General features: G+C 44.3%; 1 annotated feature.

The window, feature by feature from the left end:
* Nucleotides 3,538–3,637: an enhancer, noted in NCBI's record as "active region_7927". NCBI's record gives its function as "activates an Ori minimal core promoter by ATAC-STARR-seq in GM12878 lymphoblastoid cells {active_cell/tissue: GM12878}" and the evidence as "EXISTENCE:reporter gene assay evidence [ECO:0000049][PMID:35858748]".

A 17,487-nucleotide genomic window follows, 5' to 3' on the forward strand; every position in this document is an offset into this window, starting at 1 on the left:
TAAAAGAATGGGAAAAAATACCCTTCACCTAACTTTAAAAGGGGTTTCTTTTTTAGTAGGGTAGAAATTAATGCAATGGAGTTCCCGATGAAAATGGGAAAAGATATTAATCATTTAGAAAAGAAATATATTCACATTAAATACACATAGCAGATTCAGGAGCCATAATACTTAGAAAAATAAAGTGTTTTATCAAAACAGATATCTATATCTATTTATCTTGGAGAATATATGTGTAAATTATCCAGATGTAAGTTTTTAAACTATATTATGAATGAAAGTTACGATTAAAAATTCATTACTGAGATATCTCACATTATTAGAACACTAGTGAAATGAATGAGAGCTGGGGACAACCACAAGTGAAAAAGAAAGGGCTATTATTCTCCATGCTGGGAAAGCCCCGTTCTAACTCCTTTATTATAGGCAAGAAAAATAATCTTATTCTTCTTCATGAGCTTCTTTTTTGTGGAATTCTCATTCTTGTTCTTTTCCTCTTTTGGGTGTGGCTTGCTGTTTCTCTCCCTTTGGTGCGGGTGCCAGCTGTAACCAGAACACATGATTTTTAATTTCTCAGGACCTCATAAACATGCAACTAAAATGAAATAGAAAATGTTTCACTTCAAAGGTACAAGCTCTTTTGGCCAAACTTTTCAATTCCCTGCTAGAACTTCTAGGTTCATCTAATTATCTCCACTCGGTGGTTGTGCTTTAACACTGGGGTGGTGCTTCAGAGCAGAGTGAACAATAAAAGGCTTGTTTCCATCTGAGAAAAAGCAGTGTTTCAAATCCTGATTGCAATGTAAGAATATCATTTATACAAATTCACCAAAGTACAAGGGGGCAGACTTGCCAATACATGAGCATCATGTTATTCATTCTTAAAGTTGCTGTTTTGGCTAAACAAGCAAAAGGTTGTTTTCCTTTTGCTTTTGGGTAGAATGCCAGCTTTGTGTTTTGTTATCGTGCTTTGTCACCTAACATGCAGAGCATTTCATTCTAAACCTTTCCTATGCTTTAAGTTTCAGTTAACATAAAATGAATGAAAGTCCTCCTCCTCCTCTTTCTTCTTCTTCAACAAGGTCTGGCCCTCTCACCCAGGCCAGAGTGCAGTGGTGTGATCATAGCCCACTGTAGCCTCTACCTTCTGGACTCAAGCGATCCTCCTGCCTCAGCCTCCCAAGTAGCTGGAAATACAAGCACATGCTATTTTAGTTTTTATTTTGTAGAGACAGGGTTTTGCCACATTTCCCAGGCTGATCTTGAACTCCTGGCCTCAAGCAATCCTCCCGCCTCAGCCTCCCAAAGTTCTGAGATTATAGGGGTGAGTCACCACGACCAGCTGAAAGCTCTTCTTTATTGATATGACAGGTTCACAGTGTGGTAAAATATGGGTATTTCAATGAGAGATAATCCGAATAAACGTTGAGTCCATTTAAAATCCTTTAAGAAGCGTGGACATTACAACACAGGGAAAGCCTGGTGGTGGGTATGGAACGGAAGAGCCAAGGAAAAGGAGAAAGACATTTCTGCTGGAGCCAGTGCCTGGCATTGTGAACCCGAGATGGGAAGTCAAAGGGCAGGGATGAGGAGCGTGGCAGGAACACACTACACACCCTACGTGTATCCACGGCAGAGTTGTTTTCCTGGAAATATATGGACTAGAACAGTCTAGCTTGAAACCAGGGAAACAAAATCATTAGTTACATCATCACAAACCACAAACACCTATCCAAAAGGGAATCTTTATCAGCAGCATGGGCCAGGTGCTGTATTCTCAAAACTTTCCTGGGAATCATCAGGGCATTCCAAAGGGCAGCAGTAGAATGAAGGGAAAGTTCAAGGTAGGTAGACTTCAGTCTGCCCAAAGAACATCCCAACCAACCGCAGCACTGGCCGCGAACTGCCTTACTGAGGAAAGTTGCCTCCACCTGCCCTAGCACACCGCAGACTCCACTAATGATTTCGGACTTTTTCCAGGCTTAGCCCTGCCTAGTTTCATAACCCAAAAAACCTATAGCCAGCGGGGCATGAGCTCCCCCTCCCCACAAGCAAGTGGGCTTAGGCCAGCCTCGGCTGGCTTGGGTGACAGCACTGAACAGTGCCAGGTCTGCTGAAAGCATGGCCGTGAAGCCTTTGCACTTACACACCTCTGGGGTTAGCCTGCCTTGCTGGCTCTCCTGCCAGGCTCCCTACACTCATTTTCAACTAGTTCTCCCCAGGGAAGGAGGAAGAGCTGGCAGCTCTGCCCAGATCACCTGCTTCCTTCCAACCCTTTTGCCCAAGGTTCGACTCTGTACCAGGGTTTCCCATTTCCCTGGGGAGAGCCAGACAGCTGTGGAAAGCTGGTATTTCCATGTCATTCCTGAAAACCTCATGTGGCAACTGATGACTAGTCATGGCCTGATGTCATCTAGAGCCATTTTTCTTCTCTCTGCTCATCTGCACGCTCAGTTAACTCAGGTTTTGTACATCTTCGTTCAAACTCATCACCTCCATTGCTCCAGGGCTTTCCCCTTGGATTCCACTGGATTCAAGGAGCAAATGTCCCCGTTTGCTCCTTCAGATCAAAAGTAGGGAGAAGAGCTTAATTCTCTGTCTTCCTGAATGTAGCAGATGGTATCAGTGGCCCCACCTCCCACTGGCATTCACTTCTACTTATAGCTGACCCCTGAAAATCTCCACTCAAAGCCTTTTTTTTTCTGACCTTGAAAACACACTGTGCCCATGCATGGAGAAGCCAGACATGCTGGAAATTTCATTCCCCTGAAAGCAGCCTGAACCCATGACAGATGGAGAATTGGTGGATTAATACCCCAGATCCCTGGCCCCTTGGTTGGATGAATTCTGAGTCTTGGTTTTCAGAATTCTCTAGTGGGATCGAGCTCTATCTGCCCATGGTGGTAATTTGCTTGATAATGTGCATCCTTTATTGGCTTTCTTGTCTTCTCTGTCTCATGTCCACTATTTCCAGTGTTTTCCGGGACCCTTTCTCAAATTCCTGGCACTTGAATTCTTATCTCAGGGTCTGCCATTGTGTGAGGCTCAGCACAATGCCTAGCTAGCACATAGTAGGCACTCAATTAATTCATCCTTGACAGGTCATTGATCAATATTGCAGATGGGATTTCTGCCTTGGGAGAGAGGTGACACTATATGACCGTGAAGGATTCTTGCAGGTGCAAAAGTCTTCCCACGTAGAAATCAATGTCTTTCCAACTAGGAGACCTAGAAAAGGAGCTGTGAGGTGGAAACATATGAAAAAAAAATTTTCTCCCCTCTGTGCCAACGTGCTTTCATATGTGAAGGAGGAAGCGAGGCTCACAGGTTGGTTATGAAATCATTCAATTTCAATTTCTTGAGCCAGCATATCGCCTTTTATGGACACTGCAGCCCAGGGTAATGTGCAGGGAGTGATTTTCCATCACGTTCTATATAGTTCACAGCAGAACCAAAAATAAGATGTTCAAACCCTAGAGTATTATATTATGAATAAATACGGTCAAATCATATACCAAATACAATTATGATTACTCCATGACCAGAACTCTCGTAACACTCCTTTATGGTTGGTTGACACTGCATTCATATTTCTGTGTCTCAAGTGAGGAAATGAGTCACCAAAACGGTAAAAAAAAAAAGGCGCTGAAAACTGTCTGGCTGCTGTCTGAAGAGAGCTGGAAGAAAATGTTCCTGACCTCCCCCACCATATGCCCGGGCTGATGGGGGCTTCACCACAGTCCCAGACTCTCAAATCTTTCTGACATATTTTCATAAGAGAATAAAACACTGTAGTTAACGAGCTATGTAAGTTCCATTTGTGAATTGGTGTTTGATGAAATGATACATTGTAGAGGTAAAATGGGAATGTGAAAAGCAGGGTTTTTTTTTTTTTTTGTCCTAACAACTGAGTGTTTCATATGGTTGAGCAAAATCACATTTTAATATAGTTGAGCGTATTCCAAATGAGGTCTCTGCCTCCAAGGAGCTGCCTTGCTGGGAAGTCTGTAAAGTTCACATCCTTTTAACAGAACCGGAGTTGATGGAACAGGACAGTCAGGGAGGGGTCTGCACCTGGAGTTGAGACATGCCTGTGGGTGAAAATGGTTGCTTGGAGGGAGGAGACCCCCACACAGGCAGCGGATCACCTGCAGAGAGGACCGTGCCTGGCAGAGGACTGGGTGGTGCCCAGCACTTTGGAAGTCTAGAAAATAAGTAGTATATGGGTGTAGCGCAGACTGAGGCCTGGCAGCAGGGAGCAAGTAATGTGTGATGATCCAAACAGACAAGCACTAAAAACTAAAAGTAGGCCGGGCACAGTGGCTCACGCCTGTAATCTCAGCACTTTGGGAGGCCAAGGCAGGCAGATCACGAGGTCAACAGATCGAGACCATCCTGGCCAACATGGTGAAACCCTGTCTCTACTAAAAATACAAAAATTAACTGGGCATGGTGGTGCACGCCTGTAGTCCCAGCTACTCGGGAGGCTGAGGCAGGAGAATCACTTGAACCTGGGAGGCGGAGGTTGCAGTGAGCCGAGATCGCGCCATTGCACTCCAGCCTGGCGACAGAGCGAGACTGTCTCAAAACAAAAAACAAAACAAAAAAGAAAAACTAAAAGTAGATCTACCATTAAAGAACTAAAAGGAGAACTACCATTTGATCCAGCAATCCCACTACCAGGAATCTACCCAAAGGAATATAAGTCATTATGTGAAAAAGACATATGCACACACATGTTTATAGCAGCACAATTTCCAATTGCAAAGATATGGAACCAACCTAAGTGTCCACCAACAAGTAAGAAAAAGAAAATGTGCTATATATACACCACGGAATACTACTCAGCCATAAAAAGGAATGAAATGTCTTTATGCAGCAACCTGGATGGTGCTGGAGGCCATTATTCTAAGTGAAGTGACTCAGGAATGGAAAACCAAATATCGTATGTTCTCACTCAAAAGTGGGAGCTAAGCTATGAGGATGCAAAAACATATAGAGTGATGTGATGGACTTTGGGGATGCAAGGAAAGAGGTTGGCAGCGAGGTGAGGGATAAAAGACTGCTCAGGTGATGGGTGCATTAAAATCTCAGAATTCACCACTAAAGAACTCATCTATGTAACCAAAAACCACCTGTACTCCCAAAACCATTGAAATTTAAAAAAAAACTGAAAACAAACAAACAAAAAAAAACAGAAGCAATGATGTCTGGAAGCCCCAGTACTGGCTAAAGGAACAGTCACTTGTCAGGCTCCAGAAGTAAGTCTAGAAGACTTTGGAACTGTGTACTTAGTGGCAGTGAGGAATTCAGTCACTAGAACTAGAACTAGAACTGTGGTTCAAGAAAAAACAGCAACACAACAGATTTGGTGAGGACTCACTTCATCTATTGAACTAAACTTTTAAATATCCCTGCAGCTAAAGCCAGAACTGGCCCCAAAGCTAAGCATGGGAAGTTCAAATTGCTGAGCTTGTAGTGGGGCGCATATTAGTCCATTAGGAGGTGGCTGGGCAGGTGCAGGGGCAGGAGATCTGGCAGGTCACACTATGAGTAACCCTGAAGAAGAACATCGATTTCAAGAAGTAAATGGAGGGAGAGACCCCTCTGGTTAAAATTGAGACCCATGATGAAAGGGACACCAAGTTTCCTAAAGCAGAATTGGAACAAAAGTAAATTTAATTTCCTATTTTTAAAAATGGGATCTTAGAAAAATGAGAGACTAAGATAAAAAATTCATTGTATCCTAAACCAAAGAAACAGTTTCTGGGATGTATCCATGGCTCATACTTATTTTATGTGTTTGTCATTTCACTGGGTGAAGATATAAGATGCAAAGTTATCAAAGCAGGGCATGATAAAATTCTGTAAAGAGAACAAAACTCTGGATTATAAAACTGGACTCAAAAAGAATCCAGAGAAACTTAAAATTAAAAACATAAAACCATTTATATTAGCACCAATAAATTAAATACTCAAGTATACATATAACAAAATATGGGCCAGGCGTGGCGGCTCATGCCAGCACTTTGGGAGCCCGAGGCAGGTGGATCACCTGAGGTCAGGAGTTCGAGACCAGTCTTGTCAATATGGTGAAACCCCGTCTTTACTAAAAATACAAAAATTAGGCCGGGCGCGGTGGCTCATGCCTGTAATCCCAGCACTTTGGGAGGCCAAGGTGGGCGGATCACGAGGTCAGGAGTTCGAGACCAGCCTGACCAACATGGTGAAACCCCGTCGCTACTAAAAATACAAAAATTAGCTGGGCGTGATGGTGCGTTGCTTCTAATCCCAGCTACTCAGGAGGCTGAGGCAGGAGAATCGCTTGAACCTGGTTCTAAAGTTTATATGGAGAGGCAAAAGTCCCAGAATAGCCAACAAAATATTGAAGGAGAGGAACAAAGTTGGAGGACTGACATCACCTGACAAGACTTACCATAAAGCTCCAGTAACCAAGACAGTGTGGTATTGACAAAATAATAGACAAATAAATTCCCAGAACAGAATAGAGAGTCCAGAAATAGACCCACATAAAATTGGTCAGCTGATCTTCGAAAAAGGATCAAAGACAATACAATGGAGGAAAGAGTCTTTTTAAACAAATGGTGCTGGAATGACTGGACATCCATATGCCAAAAAATGAATCTAGACACAGACCTTAGACCCTTCACAACAATGAACTCAAAATGGACCACAGACCTTAACGTAAAGCAAAATCCTAGAATATATAAAACTTAGAATGTAACATAGGAGAAAACCCAGGTGACCTTGGGTTTGTGATGTTTGTGATGGCTTTTTAGATACAACACTAAAGACACAATTCATGAAAGAAAGAATTGATAAGCTGGACTTCACTAAAATTAAAAATTTCTGCTCTGTGTGAAACATTGTCAAGAGAATGAAAAGATAAGCCAGAGACTGGGAGAAAATGTTTGCAAAAGGCATCTCTGATAAAGGACTGTGATCAAAAATACACAAAGAACTCTTAAAACTCAACTGTAAGAAAACAACATGAATAAACAATGGGCCAAAGACCTTAACACACATCTCACCACAGAACATATACAGATGGTAAATAAGCATACGTAAAGATGTTCCCACCAGCTGCGGTGGCTGACACCTGTAATCTCAGCACTTGGGAGGCCGAGGCAGGCGGATCACCTGAGGTCATGAGTTCAAGACCAGCCTGGTCAACATGGTGAAACCCTATCTCTAGTGAAAATACAAAAAAGAAAAAAACAATAGCTGGGCATGGTGGCACGTGCCTGCAGTCCCAGCTACTTGGGAGGCTGAGACATAAGAATCACTTGAACCTGGGAGGTGGAGGTTGCAGTGAGCCGAGATGGTGCCACTGCACTCCAGCCTGGCGACAGAGTGAGACTCCATCTCAAAAAAAAAGATTTCCACAACATGTTTCATCAGGGAAATGCAAATTGAAAGAACACTGAGATACCACTGCACACCTATTAGGTTAGCCTTAATCCGGAACACTGCAACACCAAATACTGGCAAAGATGTGGAGCAACAGGATCTCTCAGGCATTGTGGCATTGCTGGTGGGAATGCAAAATTGTACACCTATTTTGGAAGGCAGTTTGGCAGTTTCTTAAAAAACTAAACATACTCTTTACCATACAATCCAGCAATTGCACTATACGATATTTACCCAGAGGAGTTGAAACTTATGTTCACACAGACACCTGCACATGGATATTTATAGCAGTTTTATTTATAATGACAAAACGTGCAAGCAAAGAAGCTGTACTTCAGTAAGTAAATGGGTAAGTAAACTGTGGTACATCCAGGCAATGGCATACTATTAAATGCTGAAAAGAAATGAGCTATCAAACCATGAAAAGACATGGAGGAAACATAAATGTATATTACTGAGTGAAAGAAACAAATCTGAAAAGATTATACACTGTCTAATTCCAACTATATGAAATTTTGGAACTGACAAACAATGGATACAAAAAGAGATCAATATAGTTGATCCTTGAACAACAACAAAGTTAGGAGTGCCAACCTTCCATGCAGTAGAAAATCCATGTATAACTTTTGACTCCCCCAAACTTAACTATGGGTAGCTTACTGTTGGCCAGAAGACTTACTGATAACATAGTCAATTAACACATATTTTGTATGTTATATACTATATTACAATAAAGAAAGCTAGAGAAAAGAAATGTTACTAAGATAATCACAAGGAAGAGACTATATACTTAGTATTCATTAAGTGAAAGTGGGTCATCATAAGGGTCTTCATCTTTGACATCTTCACACTGAGTGGGCTGAGGAGGAGGAGGAAGGGGAGGACTTCTCTTGCTGTCTCAGGAGTAGCAGAGGTGGCAAGGTAGAGGAGGTGGAAGGGAAGGCAGGCATACTTAGTGCAACTTTTATTGAAAAAAAATGCATATCATTGGGCCCATGCTGTTCAAACCCATGTTGTTCAAGAATCAATTCTAGTTTCCAGAGGTTTGAGAGAGGAAGGGGAGCACAGAGGATTTTTAGGGCAGTGAAACTACTCTGTGTGACACTATAATGGCGGATGCATGCCATTGTACGTTTTTCCACACCCATAGAATCCACAGCACCGAGAGTGAATCCTGATGTCAACTACGGGCTTTGGGCGATGACGATGTGTCAATGTAGGCTCATCAATTATGGCAAATGTACCACTCTGGTAGGGGAATGTTAAAAACAGGGAAGGCTATGCATGTGTAGGGGGCAGGGAGCATAGGGGAAATCTCTGTGTCTTTGTCGCAAGTAAACCTAAAACTGCTCTAAAAAATAAAGTCAATTCAAAATAAAAAGAATCTTAAGAGAAACTTTGGGGAAAAGGCATCTTCAATATCCAGATGTTCTGTTTCTTCTGAACTCCAATCAACTCCAGAAGAATCTGGAATACAGAAGGGGGCCTTGGGCTCTGCCACCATTCTGTTAGAGTTGGCCAGGACCTTCCCCCTGCCGGATCGGAGGGGTGAGGCTGGCCAGCAGCAAAGCCCTGGGGTAAGATCAGAGAAGCCTTCTTGGAGAGAGTTTGGTCTGTGGAGATCCATAAACCCCATATTAGTCAGCGTTCTCCAGAAAAACAGAATCAATAGGATGGTTCACTAAGGAATTGGCTCATGCAATTGTCAGGGGCTGGCGAGCCTGAAATGTGCAGGGCAGGCTGGAGACCCAGGGAAGACCTGGTGTTGCCGCTCTGGTCTGAAGACAGCCTGGAGGCAGAATTCCCTCAATGTTTTTCTTAAGGCCTTTCAGTGATTAGATGAGGCCCACCCAGATTATGGTGGATAAGCTGCTTTACTTAGAGTCTACTGATTTAAATGCTAATGCCATCTAAAAAATACATGCATATCACATCTAGACTGGCATTTAACCAAGTGTTTGGGTACCATGGCCAAGGCAAGTTGACATAAAATTAACCATCATAGATCCCCCACCCCGCCAAGAAGAAGAATAATTCTGATCCCTTACAGGCATCTTGGGGAGAGCCTACTGGTATCCATGAATTCCAATGAGCTAGAGAAGAAGGGAAGGAAGGAGATTGATGCAGCTTTCCTGATGAGGCTGAGGACATGAGCCCACATAGCTCAGAAGATGACACAGCATCACAATAGAGAACTGATTTTATGTCACCTGTCACACTGCAGGTCAACAGGGCAGACACTGTCTTGCTTTCATCATTCACAGGATGGCCTCCATTTAAGTACTGGGGTAGACTGATAATACCACCCCAACAATGTCCACATCCTAATCCCTGGAACCCATGAATGTATTACCTTCTATGACAAAAGGCACTTTGCAGATATAACTTTAAATCTTGAGATAAGAGATTGTTCTAAATAATCCAGGTAGGCCCTAAGTGTAATCACAGGGTTCCTATAAGAGAAGACTAGGAAGGTCAGAGTCAAAGAGGGAAATATGACAACAGAAGCAGAGGTTGGAGTGAGTGCTTTGAAGATGGAGGAAGGGACTGCATGCCGAGGAAGGCAGGTAGCCTCTAGAAAGAAGCTGAAGAGAGCATGGAAATGGATTCTCCCCGAGAGCCTCCAGGAGGAATGCAATTCTGCTGACATCTTGATTTTAGGACTTCTGATCTCCAGAATCATGAGACAATGAATTTGTGTCATTTGAAGTCACAAAGTTGTAATCTTTTACAGCAGCCATAGGAAACGAATACAAATAACTTAAGGTGACACAGTAGCAACAGAGAAAACATAATCAGAATACCCATAATAGGCTGGGCATGGTGGCTCACGCCTGTAATCCTAGCATTTTGGGAGGCCAAGGTTTGCAGATCACCTGAGGTCAGGAGTTCAAGACCAGCCTGGCCAGCATGGTGAAACCTCGTCTCTACTAAAAATAGAAAAATTAGCTAGGCATGGTGGTGCATGCCTATAATCCCAGGCACTGGGGAGGTTGAGGCAGGAGAATCACTGGAACCCAGGAGGCGGAGGCTGCAGTGAGCCAAGATTGTGCCACTGCCACTGCACTCCAGTCTTGGTGACAGAGAGAGACTCCATCTCAGAAAAACATCAAAAAAAGAATACCCACAATAGATAGGTTTTAGGGAAATAAAATTGTTAGAGAAGACAGACAAAAACTTCAACTAAAATATAAGAGCTCATAACAGAATTTGACTATGGCACACGCACACACACATACACACAAACTTTCTGGAGCTGAAAAAGGTTTAACTAAAAGATTAAAAGACAAAATGGTGGTATAGAAGACAAATAGAAAAAGGCTTAAAAGACAGAAAATGTACAAAGAGATGCCAATCATGAGGGGAAAAATGAGAAGACATAATGAGGATAAATAACAGGATTCAGAAGCATAAAAAGAGATGGGCTTGCTAGAAAACAGAATCAAATCTGATGCAGTAACAGGTCAATGGGGAGTGTGGTCTCCAGGAAGCAGTTTGAAGGGAGAGGAGTCTGAAGCAGGGAGGAGGGAGAGCAGGCACAGAGGCCCAGCCAGCTGGCTGCAGCTTCCTAAGAAGCACAACTGAATGCTTGGTCTCCTGGGATGTGTTCAGACAGGTGGTGTAGACCACTGGATCTCAGAAAGTCCTTCAGAAGGAGTAGTAGGTGCTCTCCAGCTCCCACTGGTCAAAGGTCAGGTGTTCAGACAGGTGGTGTAGACCACTGGATCTCAGAAAGCCCTTCAGAAGGAGTAGTATGTGCTCTCCAGCTCCCACTGGTCAAAGGTCAGGGATGCCAGTGACATGGATGTCACTGTTACATTTGTTACAGCCCCACTGGTCCCTGAGGCTGTGTTCCTTTTTTGGTTCCAGTCTATTTTCTCTCTGTCTTGCTGTCTGATCTTCAAATGCACATTTTGTGGCTAATGCCCATTGTGCCTGTTATCAAACCATCGTTTGATTATATAACTGTCCTCATTTGTACTTCAGTGTTTTAAAAGAATCTAGCCTTAGAGAAATGAGCCACAGACAAAATACACAAATGCTCAAAACAGCCAGTTCCTAAATAAATAAATATTAGATTGAAAACTAAAGCTGGTCCCTAGGAGGTAGGTGATACATATCCATCATTACAAACCAAATCTTTACTGAGTTGATTAACACAATTAATTGAAATGTTAACAAGAGGAGTAGGAAGGTAACCTAAAAGTCACAGACTGATATAACAAATAATAGCTTGGAAAAATCCATATTTACTGTTGTTTTATCTTCTGTAACACTTTCCAGGGAAGATGGAACAAGTTTGGCTAAGCCGTAATGTCTAAAATATCCCCCAAGAAACTGCACATATTTTTTGCCAGTTTGCTCAGTTTGATCATATGAAGTTCAGTAATAACTGTAGGTCTCCTGGCTGTCAAGCCAGAGGAGGCTTGGAATGTGACATGTGACACACTGACCTGCTGCCACCCCCACTTCCTATAATGCCCTCTCAGAAGACAGTGCTGGAAAACTCAGACAGCAGAATGAAAAGAATAGCACCAGAAGAAGTAAAAGCTTTCACAGCCAAAAGGCAGAGGAGCACTTCTGGCTGAATTAAAAGGGTGATTGGGGCAAAGAGAAATGAAGGGTACCATGTTGTTTAATAAGAAGGAAGAGCTATGAACTGTATTTACTCATTTTTTAAAGTTTATTCGATTTTTTTTTCATTGCTACTTGTCCCTTTGGCCTTATCACCAAAGCAGTGAGGTGGAAGTCTGAGTAAGGAAGGAGAAAAATCAGTGCTGTGAAGAATATGGAATTCAGTCAGGTGGGTTTTAACCAACTTAGAAATTCCCTGGGAAGATTCTATGGGGAGAAGATATAACAGGAAAAGTAACAGATTTTTTTTGTTTTCCAGAAAACTGTCAGCTCTAATTCTCATCATGGGGTCAGGGCCAGCACATAATTTTCAAGCCTTAGAGCTCGCCAGGCACCAACAGCTCCTGAGCACGGAGCTGGAGGAGCTGTGATGAGCCCCCTGGGCTTAGGCAAGGGGCAGGGAAGAGGCAACAATGGCACCCAGCTGAGGACCGGGCCATGGTGATAAATGGGAAGCCCAGGCCATTTCAACCAGAACCATGCTTGGAAAATCAAGCAAGTAAGATGATGTGTTACAGAGGATAATGTGTGTGCAAAAGGGCATGTGTGTGTGTTTGTAGATGCATGAAGGTTTTTGTGTGAATGTAGAAAGCAGGCTTGGCCATGGTTGGAGGTCACCAAGGTATAAAAATCCTTCATGGGCATCAGTCTAAGATTTTAAAAAATGAGACTGGAGAAGAGGCCAGGCAGTGGAAAACAGGCTCCAAAATAAGGGGGAAAACAGGCTCCAAAATAAGGGAGAAAGCAGATTCCACCCCTCTGGCTGAGACACAGGGGACAATGCCCCTCAGCGTACTGCAACGCTGAGGGCACATTAGCTAAGCTCCAATGTGAGACATATACTCTGATAAGAATGCTTGGAAATGTGTCCATTCCAGAAAATCCGGGACCTACGGTTGCTGTATCAGCAACTTGCCTTGGCCAAGTATCGGTGAGTGCATTTGATTCTACTTCTGTGGTGTCCCCAGATCTATGCCTCCTTCCCACACCACCAGTGCTGGCCAGATCCTCTTTCTCTTTCATCGGGGTGCCTTTCTCTCCACCCACCTCTGTCTTCTCCCAATACCCGTCTTTCCTACACACTGATGTTAGTCCATCCTCCATTTTCATCCTCCATTGCTCAAAAGTAGCTTCACTGACTGTAGTAAAACGTCCAAACTCTTTATTTTGGTGTTCAAGACTTTCTGCACTTAGACTTTGTGGCCAACAGACCATCGGGTGGCACTCATGTTTGTGCCCTGTATAGTCCTCTCCACATGGGCATGAGTGGGACTTGAGACTTCCTTCTGATAGATTATGGCAAAGGTGAAGGGATGTCATTCCTGTGAGTTTATATGTACAGGGTGTGTGTATCGCCAAATAAATATATAATGTTTTTGACTTGCTAGCACGTGCTAGATACTCTTTCCACTGCTGGTTTAGAAGAAGCAAAGTAGGCCGGGTGTGGTGGCCTACTGTAATCCCAGCACTTTGGGAGGCCGAGGCAGGCGGATCACCTGAGGTCAGGAGTGCGAGACCAGCCTGGCCAACATGGTAAAACCCTGTCTCTACTAAAAATGCAAAAATTAGCCAGGCATGGTGGTGGATGCCTGTGATCCCACCTACTTGGGAGGCTGAGGCATGAGAACTGCTTGAACCTGGGAGGTGGAGGTTGCAGTGAGCCGAGATCATGCCACTGCACTCCAGCCTGGGCAATAGAGCGAGACTCAGTCTCAAAAAAAAAAAAGAAGCAAAGTAGCATGGCATGGTGGCACGTGCCTGTACTCCCAGCTACTCGGGAGGCTGCAGCAGGGGGATTGCTTGAGCCCAGGGATTTGAGGCTACACTGAATTATGATTGGGCCACTGTACTCCAGCATGGGCAACAGAGTGAGATCCTGTCTCTAAGCATAAAAAATAAAACAAATAAAAGAAAAAGCAGCAGCTGCCATGCTATGAGTGGCACATGGAGGAGGCCAGTGGCAAGGGACTGCCAGAGGGCTGCAGGAGCTGAGAGCAACACCCGACCAACAGCCAGCAAGAAAACCTCCTTCCTGTGGAAGTGGGACTCCTTGGGAAGATGAAGTCTTTCAACAACCTGAGGAAGCTTGGAAAAAGATCTTCCTCCAGTCATGCCTCTGAGGGCCTGTAGTCCTGGCCAACACCTGGATTGCAGCCTGGTGAGATCTTAAGCAAGAACTCACATATGCTGTTCCCAGACTTCGGACACATACAGGCTGTGAGAAGATACATCTGTGTTGTTTCGAGCAGTTCAGTTTGTGCAACTACACAGCAACCCAAAGTTCACACATGGCTCAATATCTGTCAGACCTCAGCTCGTAAATTTGTATTAAGTGGAAAAAATTAATGGATGAATGAAAGTGGCCTGGGGTCAGTGCTATGTTCCAGAAGTTGCAGGACAAGCAGAAGTTAGCACCTGAGAATGAACAATTGTCCAGAGGCTTGGGAACCAGTGGAAAGGCTGCTGACCAGGGAAGCCCGTCTCCATGGGCCACATTGCACATTATGTTGCCAGGAATGGGCTCTGTGCTGGGAAGGGAGGCCTGGCAGGGTCACCACAGTGCTCAAGATACCTGTGTCAGCAAAGCTGCAGGAGCCAGGCACATAATGAAAGCACAAAGCCGCCTGGAATACAGTGCAAAGCCTGAAAGTGAGCCTGAAGCAGACACCGTAGAAAGGCGCCAGTTGAGTCGGAAGGGTAGATCCAAAGGCATGATCGCATCAGCATCACAGGTGAGGAGGGACATCCAGAGTCTCTGGGAGTCCGTCACAGTGAAAACTGCTCCAGCATCAGCAAGGCGAGCCTTGCATTCCCTCATTCAACCATTCACTCGTGTATTCAGCCAGACGACATTAGTGGTTGAGCCCTTCCTATATGCCAGACACTCCCTAGTGCTACAGATCAAAAGCCCCGTTGAACCCTGCCGGGCTCTGCAGGCAGCTCACAGGTACCCAAACTCCTCATAGTCATTGGGCTAGACAGCTGCCCTGAAGGTCCCCTGCAGGCCAGGGCACGCTGCTCAGAGCACTCCAGGACACAGTGGCCACCCCTTCTGCAGCCTTCCTGTCCCCATAGCCTGCCTGACTTCAGGTCTTTCCCAGACTTGACCTGCCCCTGGGGATGTGACGACCGAGGGGCTCTGCACATTGGCCCTCTGACCTGCACAGTCTCACCCTGCAGGCATGAGGCTTGGCACTGCCCCTCTCCAGCTGGATCATAGTGGTCTGCTATGGCTGGGCTGGGAATGGTCCAGGGGCCAGCCCCATATATGTCCCCTAATTTCCTAAACCCTGGAGTCCAATTACAGAGTGAGTACAGGGGATTTTGAAGGATCATGGCTTCATACGTTTGCTTTTGGCATATATTGTCCAACAAGTCCTTGACCAGCAAGAGAACCTACAGTTATAGCATTGTTTCTAAAGATAAACACCATGCCTTTTTTGGGGGATGCAGTATCCAGGAAGGTGTCATGTTAAAATGCAGGGTTTCTGTATACACACAGGAGTGAAGGAATCTGACTCAGTCTTTGGCCTTATAGTCTTGCCCTACACATACTGAAAGGATTCTTTTTTGTTTTTTATAGAGACGAGGTCTCACTATGTTGCCCAGGCTGGTCTTGAACTCCTGTGGGCTCAAGTGATCCTCCCACCTCGACCTCCCAAAGTGCTAAGATTACAGGTAAGAGCCACCACACCTGGCCAGAAAGGACCCTTGAAAGCAGCATTCTTCAAATTGGGTTATCTGTCTTTGAGGGACACATGGGTAAGCTGTGGCTCAAACACATGGGCTAAGTGTAGAGGGAATCACTTCCCAGGATCTCAGCTTCCTTTCTGAGGTCAGGGTCTCCTTTCCCAGCTCTTCGCTCTCAGTCCCTTCTCCACTTACTGAAGAACGGGAGCCTCTCACCATCCTGAACCGTCCTATGGTGCATTGCAGGGGTGAAATAACTTCCGGGGCATTAAATAAAGGGATTTTTGAAATGCTAATTGGTGTTAAAAGAGGGATGATTCTATTGATGTGGTTGAAAAAAATCATTACGTCAGGTAGTTGCTTTTTCTTTGCATACAACCAAATTAAAGGAAGACCAAAGTTTCAGCTGATAAATCATTACAAATTATTTTAGATGATAAATATTTGTGTGGTGGGGGACATAACTCAGAAGGGGTTCAAAGAATTGAAGGTCAAGGCTATGGCAAAATGCTTCCTTCCCCATCTACTTAATTAATGTCTGTATGTTTTCTCGGTGCTTACATTTAAAAAATAATCGGCATGTAATTGGTGCTAAACCTAGTGTTAAGTCTACCAAGAATTAATATTCTCTGGATACATGAACTGGTTGAGAAATTCCCACTCATCTCAGTAAGAGATGCATTTTCTTTCTCTTTTTTTTTTTGAGACGGAGGCTCATTCTGTCGCCCAGGCTGGAGTGCAGTGGCGCGATCTTGGTTCGCTGCAAGCTCCGCCTCCTGGGTTCACGCCATTCTCCTGCCTCAGCCTCCCGAGTAGCTGGGACTACAGGCGCCCGCCACCACGCCGGGCTAATTTTTTGTACTTTTAGTAGAGACGGGGCTTCACCGTGTTAGCCTGGATGGTCTCCATCTCCTGACCTCGTGATCCACCCGCCTCGGCCTCCCAAAGTGCTGGGATTACAGGCGTGAGCCACCGCGCCCGGCCTGGAGACCAAAGTTTTAACATGCAGGTGAAGCCTCCAGGTATCAGGCTTCAGAGACGGTAGATTATAAATATTTCTTATCAGACTTAAAGAGTCTGTTCTGTCAGTAATTCCAAAAGGGAGGAGGGAATAATGAGGCATGTCCGATTCCCTCTTCCCATCGTGGCCTGAACTCATTTTTCAGGTTAACTTTGGAATATCTTTGCCGAAATGAGGTGTCCATTCAGATGGGTGGGGGCTTAGAATTTTATTTTTGGTTTGCATTCTCCCCCTTCTGGCCAAGATTTGCCAGAGGCAACATTAATGGCCACCAAGCTTTTATTTTGTCCCATAGAGTTGCTGGGGTGGCATGGCTGCCTGACCCAAGTCCATCCTGTTCTTCTGTGTGATGCCCTCATCCATGGCCAATGGACTTAGAGCCAGGAGACTTATAGCCAATTATACGTTCTAGGCCATATAGGAAAGGACGTGGACAGGCATTCATTACCTCTTAACAATTTTAAAGTAATACAAAAGCCAACAAACAAAAAGCCAAAAGTGAGGTTACAAAATTGACTTTATCTGTCTTTAACTTCCATGCATTGAGCTACTGTAATCTTGGTTTTTGTTATGGACTCGTAGCAGTTAGCTATTCAACACATAAGCATTGTTAAAACCTTTTAGGCTAAGGAATTTAGAGACTTTGTTGTGTCACAATGCTTTTTGGGGTCTTTTAGTAATTTGTCCTAAGGTGGCTGAAATTTTTTATT

This window comes from Homo sapiens, chromosome 13 (genome assembly GCF_000001405.40).
Source record: "Homo sapiens chromosome 13, GRCh38.p14 Primary Assembly".
Taxonomy (NCBI): domain Eukaryota; kingdom Metazoa; phylum Chordata; class Mammalia; order Primates; family Hominidae; genus Homo; species Homo sapiens.